The sequence below is a fragment of the Homo sapiens genome, chromosome 8 (assembly GCF_000001405.40).
Source record: "Homo sapiens chromosome 8, GRCh38.p14 Primary Assembly".
Lineage (NCBI taxonomy): Eukaryota > Metazoa > Chordata > Mammalia > Primates > Hominidae > Homo > Homo sapiens.
In genome coordinates this window covers 41,074,816-41,082,504 of record NC_000008.11, presented here as the reverse complement: position 1 = coordinate 41,082,504, position 7,689 = coordinate 41,074,816, and the positions used below count along the sequence as shown (strand labels likewise).

Sequence of the window (7,689 nt, the reverse complement as noted above, 5' to 3'; positions counted from 1 at the left end):
AAGTTACAGTGAGCTGAGATCGCCCCATTGCACTCCAGCCTGGGCAACAAGAGTGAACTCAGTCTCAATAAATAAATAAATAATAAAGCACTTTGTAAATTATTAAGGACTGAATTAAATATTTAGAGAAAAATCTTCTCAGGCTCTGTTTTCCATTTGAAGAAGAACTTGCGCTTTGGGGCCAGATGGGCTGGAGTTTGATGCCTGTTCCTCCACTTGCTGGTTGTGTGTTTCTGGGCAAATATTTTAGGCTTTTTGTGTCTTAGTTTACTCGTATGTAAAATAAGAACAATTATAGCATTTCATGAGGTTGCAATGTGAATTAATGAGTTAATGTAGTCAGGACTAAACTCTGATTTTTTATCTGGCCCAAATTCCTATCTAAGTGGTCTGGGGAGTCATGCCCTACCAATCATAAATTCTCATCAGATGGGTTTTATTTAGCCCTGTATACCATGACTCACTTTCCAACCTGACTCTGGCATAACATTATGAGACAAGGAAGAAAATCAAAATATTTTATCCCACAACATGTTTCTTTGCCGTATTTTGAGACGGCCCTGCAAAGCTGTTCTTTGGGGGTAGAATTTGCATCTGTAAAGAATCTCTATTAACAAAGCTAGATCTTTTTCTTCTGGACCCTCCCAATCCTAAAGAGATTAACTAAGATCTGAATAGGAAACATTTGTCATCTATTGTCTCCAAGGGCAGCCACTATAAGACTTCAAAGAACTTTGGTCTCCACAATCTTTATCTTAACCTGAACATTCCCTTTCTACCAACCTCAGGTCTTTAGACATATTCAACTAATTGTCAACCAGAAAATTTTAAATTCACCTGTAACCTGGAACACCCCACCCCCACCAACTTGGTTTGAGTTGTCCCACCTTTCTGGATCAAACCAATGTATTTCTTAAATGTATTTGATTGATGTCTCATGCCTCTCTAAAATGTGTAAGACCAAGCTGCGCCCCAACCACCTTGGGCACAGGTACTCAGGACCTCCTGAAGGCTGTGTCACAGGCCATGGTCACTGGTATTTGGCTCAGAATAAACCTCTTCAAATACTTTATAGAGTTCAATTCTTTTCATTGACAGTAGTAAAGTACTTAGAATAGTGACCGACGTATATAAGAGCTAAACAATGTTAGTTATTCTCGTTTTAAAATTTTCTTTTGCCTGTAATCCCAGCACTTGGGAGGCCAAGCTGGGTGGATCACTTGAGGCCAGGAGCTCAAGACTAGCCTGGCCAGCATGGTAAAACTTTGTGTCTACTAAAAATACAAAAATTAGCCAGGCATGGTGGTGCACACCTTAGTCCCAGCTACTAGGGGGCCTGAGGCATGAGAATGGCTTGAACCTGGGAGGCAGAGTTTGCAGTGAGCCAAGATTGTGCCACTGCACTCTTACCTGGACAACAGAGTGAGACCCTGTCTCAAAAAAAAAAATTACTTTTTTTTTTCCATCTATCTAACCAGTTGAATTTTTTAAAATTGTCTTTCTTTCTTTCTTTCTTTTGTTGGTTTTTGTTTTTGAGGAGATAGGGTCTTGCTTTGTTGCTCAGGCTGGTCTCGCACTGGGATTACAGCTGTGAGCCACCTCCCGGCCCTCTATTTTTTTTGTTTGTTTGTTTTTTTCTGAGACGGAGTCTTGCTCTGTTGCCCAGGCTGGAGTGCAGTGGCATGATCTTGGCTTACTGCAATTGCCGTCTCCCAGTTTCACGCCATTCTCCTGCCTCAGCCTCCCAAGTAGCTGGGACTACAGGTGCCCACCACCACACCTGGCTAATTTTTTGTATTTTAGTAGAGACGGGATTTCACCATGTTAGCCAGGATGGTCTCACTCTCCTGACCTCGTGATCCGCCTGCCTCGGCCTCCCAAACTGCTGGGATTACAGGTGTGAGCCACCGTGCCTGGCTGGGCCCTCTATTTTTAAATGGAGGAGTTGAGCTATCTTTTCTCTGTCATGCCTCCTAGTTTATATGTTCTTTGATATTTACATATGCATTATTTTCTAGAGCAAGAAGTACTTTATTTTTTAATTTTTTTTTATTTTTTGAGATGGAGTCTCACTCTGCTGCTTAGGCTGGAATGCAGTGGCACAATCTCGGCTCACTGCAACCTCTGCCTTCTGGATTCAAGTGATTCTCCTGCCTCAGCCTCCCAAGTAGCTAGATTACAGACATGCACCACCATCTCAGGCTAATGTTTGTATTTTTAGTAGAGACAGGGTTTCACCATGTTGGCCAGGCTGGACTGAAACTCCTGATCTCAGGTGATCTGCCCTCCTCGGCCTCCCAAAGTGCTGGGATTACAGGCATGAACCACCGTGCCTGGCCGCAAGAGGTATTTTAAATCCAGGAGTTTTTGCTATAACAATCTTCTACTGATAACATTAAAATTTAGATGTATAGATTTCTGGAAATTCCTGATTACTTGGTATTAAGATGAAGTCCCCAAATTCCCATCATCTGCCACTTGACACGATCTATTTAACTTTCCAAAAACCTGAGTATGACCACAGAGTAGCTCTGTGCCAACCTGAAAGAAAGAAGCTGAGGCAAAAAGGAATGTAAGTAGAGGGTTTATTGGGCCAAGCTTGAGGATTGCAACCAGGGATCACAGATTCCAGTTGCTCTGGATATGCACTCTGTTCAGCAGCAGTTACAAATGGATTGTTAAAGGGAAAGATGAAGCAGTTCCTGAGTTGTTTACCAATAATTTACATTAAAATAATGCAAGTTACTCATTGGCTATACATTGTTAAGCTCTAGAATGTGTGTTATAGAGTTCAGTATGGCATTATTAGGTTAATTTATAATAGCCTGATAATGCTGTTGTGATAATATCAAGCAATTTCAGTAAACGAATACACAGCTTCAAAAAGGGGGAAGGTAGGATGTGATTGCTGTCTCATTTTAATGCCTCTCTGGGCCTGATAATTTAAAAGGATTCGAATGCCTTAGATAAAAGTTCTTTCCTTATGAACTTACGGTTATAAGATTAAAAGAAAAAAAGTTCTTCCTAAACTATGTGCCCACCCATCTCAGGCATCACAATGAACTGGTAGGAGTGAAGTAGGTTAGGTAGGGTGATCACAGCCTCCCTTAAAGGGGAACAAACTTGCCAAATAGATGGAGAGAACAAACTGCCCATCAGTGCACAACGCATCCTGGGCTCCTGGTTAGAAGATCCTGCAGCAAGGAGGTAAAGAAAAAGAAGTGAAAATCCCCAAACTTGTACAAACGCAGAAACCCATGATTAGTTTCCTTGGACTGACCGACACTCATTATAATAGTAAAAAACACATCCTTGGGTGGAGAATTAAAATGCTAATGAGACATGTGATGTATGGGCTAGCATATACAGCCACTGTGCATGTAAGCCTAAGAAACCACCCACAACATACTTAATCACAACAGCCCTTCCTGTCCTTTTATGAATAATCATGTAAATCTCTCACAAACGCAAGTTCCTCAGAGCCAGACAGTGCAGGCTCATGCTTGAGCAGCCTGCTGTGATCCAGCTATCAAACTGTACTTGCGCTTTGCAATAAACTTCTTTACCTATTTTCACTTCGGACTCACTCTCAAATTCTTCTATGTGGTGAAGTCAAGAACCTTAACTGGCCCACCAGCAACAGGAGCACTGTGGGAAATTGTGAAATTTGGGAGAAACTTGACATCTGTCAGATACATCATGAGTTACCAGCTTGAGTACACGAATTCATTTTGGTGGTATCATATCATTGAAAGGTTGTGTTTTCTGTTGCTGCAGTAAAAAAGGACTATGTGAAAAATCAATGGGAAACAGGAAATGAGGGTGAAGGTGTCCCATCCGATTCCAAGGTCTGAAAGCTGGGCAGTGTCAGCCACACATCCCAGGAGTACATAGCCGCGGTTAAGAATGAAATATTATCTTTCTTTCAACTTATGAGTATTATTTTTGCAAATTGTGATTAAGTTATTAGAACATAAAGATGTACTGAGTGGTTTGGGAACCAACTACTTAAATAACCAAATTGTTAGGTACTTCTTTCGGTCTAAGATGCTGTAAAAAAAAATTACTGAGATACTAAGGGTACTGAGAACTAGAATATTTGTAAACTTCTGGGGATAGATCCTTAAGTTTCTGGATTTTCTTTTAAAAAAGCCCAAGTGTATGAAATTGGGCAGTGCCCACAGTTCAACAAAGCCACAGAGGCTAACACAGCCCTGGGAAATTTGTGTGGAGGTGAAGCTTTGCAAGCCCAGGTTTATCTTGTGCACAAATCCTTCAATAGTCCAAAGAAAGGCATACATGAGGAGGAGGTGGGGAATTGCATTTTTCATAATTAACTAGAAGCTGCTTCTTCACTTTGAAGTATGTTCCCTTTTGGCTCCTTGAAAGTTTCTCTGCATTAACAATTTGTACAGATTTTAGTTACTGATGAACAACATTGTTTTGGTGAGTTCTGATTAGCACATGAATACCACACTAGTGCCTGAGGGAATGCAAAGCAGGCACATTTGCAATTGAATATGCACTTAACATTTGGGCTGGAGTTTGAAATCTTAATCAATTTCCACATCTACCCCATACTCTGTTGGGACACTTGCCCAGATGTGAGTCCCTTGGGATGTAAATTTCTTGTGCTTAGAGTTTTATGGAAAGTTCATTGAAGGGCTGGGAATAGTGAGGAGCAAACTGCCAGATGAAATACAGTTATGCATCGCTTAATGGGGTACATCTTGAGAAATGCATCATTAAGCGATTTTATCATTTTGTCTAGATGGTATATAGCCTATTACTCACCTAGGCTATATGATATAGCCTATTTCTTCAGGGCTACAAACCTGTATTGCATGTTACTGCATTGAACACTGTGGGCAACTGGAACACAGTCATAAGTATTTGTGTATCTAAACTTACCTACACATAGAAAAGGTACAGTAAAATGTGGTATAAAAGATTTTTAGATCGGGTGCGGTGGCTCACGCCTGTAATCCAAGCACTTTGGGAGGCTGAGGTGGGCAAATCACATGAGGCCAGGAGTTTGAGACCAGCTTGGGCAACAGGGCGAAACACTGTCTACTGAAAATACAAAAAATAGCCAGGCGTGGTGATGCACGTCTGTAATCTTAGCTACTCAGGAGGCTGAGGCATCAGAATTGCTTGAACTCTGGAGGCAGAAGTTGCAGTGAGCCAAGATTGCACCCCTGCACTCCAGCCTGGGAAACAGAGCAAGACTCTGTCTCAAAAAAAAAAAGATTTTTAAAAAGGTACATCTATGCAGGGCACTTACCGTGAATGAAGCTTGCAGGAATGGAAGTTGCTCTGAGTGAGTCAGTGAGTGAGGGTTGAGTGAATGTGAGGGCCCAGGATTTTACTGTACACTACTATAGATTTTATAAACACTGTACACTTAGGCTTCACTAAGTTTATAAAAGGTATTTTTCTTCAATAATAAATTAACCTTAGCTTACTGTAAGTTTTTAACAATAAACATTTTATTTTTTAAACATTATGACTTTTTTTGCAATAACAGCATATAACACAAACACATTGTACCACTGTACACAAATATTTTCTTTCTTTATTTCCTTATTCTGTAAGCTTTTTTCTATTTATGAAATTTTAAAAACTTTGAAAGATTTTTGGTAAAAACTAAGACAGACACACACATTAGCCTAGGCCTATGCAGGGTCAAGATCATCAAGACATCAGTAGATCGATCACTGCCTGAAATGTCAGGTGACACATGACTGCATATGAAGATATGAACACCTTTTTCATGTACAGCTGCACATTTCCTCTTGTCACCTGAAGAATGACAAGGTTCATACAGTTGGAAAAAAGAGCTTTATTTCTCTTAAAGGGTTGCAACCTGCAGGGTGGCCATTCTGACATGCTGGGAAGCGTAGCCTCCAGTCAGAAGCCAGAAACAGGCATTTCAAGGGAGGAGCAAAGGGATCAGGAATTCATGCTGAGCAGGTTGGCTGAACATACATATTCAATAAGATATGGGAGGAGTCATGAATATTTATGAAAGGAGAAACATGCATAAGCACAATGGAGCTTCACACATCTCCACAGGACTCATGTTCCAAAAATGGTGGTGTTAGCACGACCTGAGGGTGGAGTTTTTGGCCCTCTGACATCAAAAGGTGAAGCAGAGGACACAAAAACCCTCACTGTGCATTCCCTGTAGACTGGGCAGAACATCTTCATGGTTGGTGGTCTCTTTTCAAAAAGGAGTTCTGGTTGGTTGTTTTGTGGAAACTGCAAAAGGGAGGGGCAGTGTCAGGTGCCTGGTTGGTATCAGTGGTAGGGCAGATCATGAAGTCAGGAGTTCGAGACCAGCCTGGCCAACATGGTGAAACCCATCTCTACTAAAAATACAAAAATTAGCTGGATGTGGTGGCATGCACCTGTAATCCCAGCTACTTGGGAGGCTGAGGCAGGAGAATTGCTTGAACCCAGGAGGCGGAGTTTGCAGTGAGTTGAGATTGCACTACTGTACTCTAGCCTGGGCAACAGAGCAAGACTCCATCTGAAAAAAAAAAAAAAAAGAAAAAAGAAAAAGAAAGTTAGTGAGGGAGAAGGGGTAACTAGTTGTGTCTGACCGACCTTCCATCCTGTCATGGCTGAGAACTCAGTTTTCAAGTTTCTTCTGGGATCCCCTAGGCCAAGAGGCGATTCATCCAGTCAGTTGGGGGGCTTAGAATTTTATTTTTAGTTTATCTTCTGCATTTCACTCCTTCCATTTTCTTTTTATCAAAGTAATATATGCATATCAAGAAATCAGATACTAGGGAAGAGTTTATGATGAAAAACATGTGAACTGTCCCTCCTCTGTCTTCTCAAACCCCATTCCCATTTCCTCAAAAAAATCTCTTAAATATGTTTTTGAGGTCTTCTACTGGTTATCTTTATAACTATAGACAATATGCTTATGATATACCTCCCTATTTCTTGACTAGTCTCTTTTAGACAATAATTATTGATGTTGGGAAAGAGACTTTTCCTCTATCCACTTAGGTCTGACTAGTCAAGACTCACAATAGACAGATTAACAGGAGAAGATGTATTATGCATGTGGGAGTACTCAGTAATGAGTAACTCACTGAATAGCCACAGATAAAAGTTTACATACTGGCTTAACAAAAAAGAAGAAAGGGGCTAGGGCTTTAGTGAGAAAGCATGAAAGGTTCTATTGGTCTTTTTCATGCTAATGAGCAGCTGAATTCACACTTCCCCCAGTCTTCTCCCAAAAGGGTCAAACTTCTCCCAAACAGGAAACTCCTTTTGGGGTGGGTGGTGGTCAATGGCAGCTGTATTTTCTGGAGGCTCTCTTTAAGTTTAGATAATGTTTTTATCCATGGCTGCTGATTGTTCAAATGTTTTCAGTTTATAGTAATTTTTATGCCACATTGGCAGGCTGATAATCCCTTTATTTATAACACTTGAAACTTCCTCAGAAATTTCACAAACAAGAAGCTGGGCTGATTACTGTAGACAGAAGGCTTGGGCTAGAAGTTGTGAGATAATCAATTGTCAAAGAGAAAGAAGAACATAGAGGGAGAAAACAAAAGAAAAAGATGAATGAATGAAAAAAAAGATGAAATTTCTGAGTCCAGAAATTAAACATTGGGTTTGCAATATTTATAGACAGTGGAATGAGAATGGCAATGTCAATCCAGTGGATTT

The 7,689-nt window shown here is 40.6% G+C and overlaps 1 annotated feature.

The window, feature by feature from the left end:
- Positions 6,584-7,467: an enhancer, noted in NCBI's record as "OCT4-NANOG-H3K27ac hESC enhancer chr8:40932557-40933440 (GRCh37/hg19 assembly coordinates)". NCBI's record gives its function as "activates a minimal SCP1, AML or CMV promoter by ChIP-STARR-seq in primed H9 embryonic stem cells {active_cell/tissue: H9 hESC(primed)}" and the evidence as "EXISTENCE:reporter gene assay evidence [ECO:0000049][PMID:30033119]".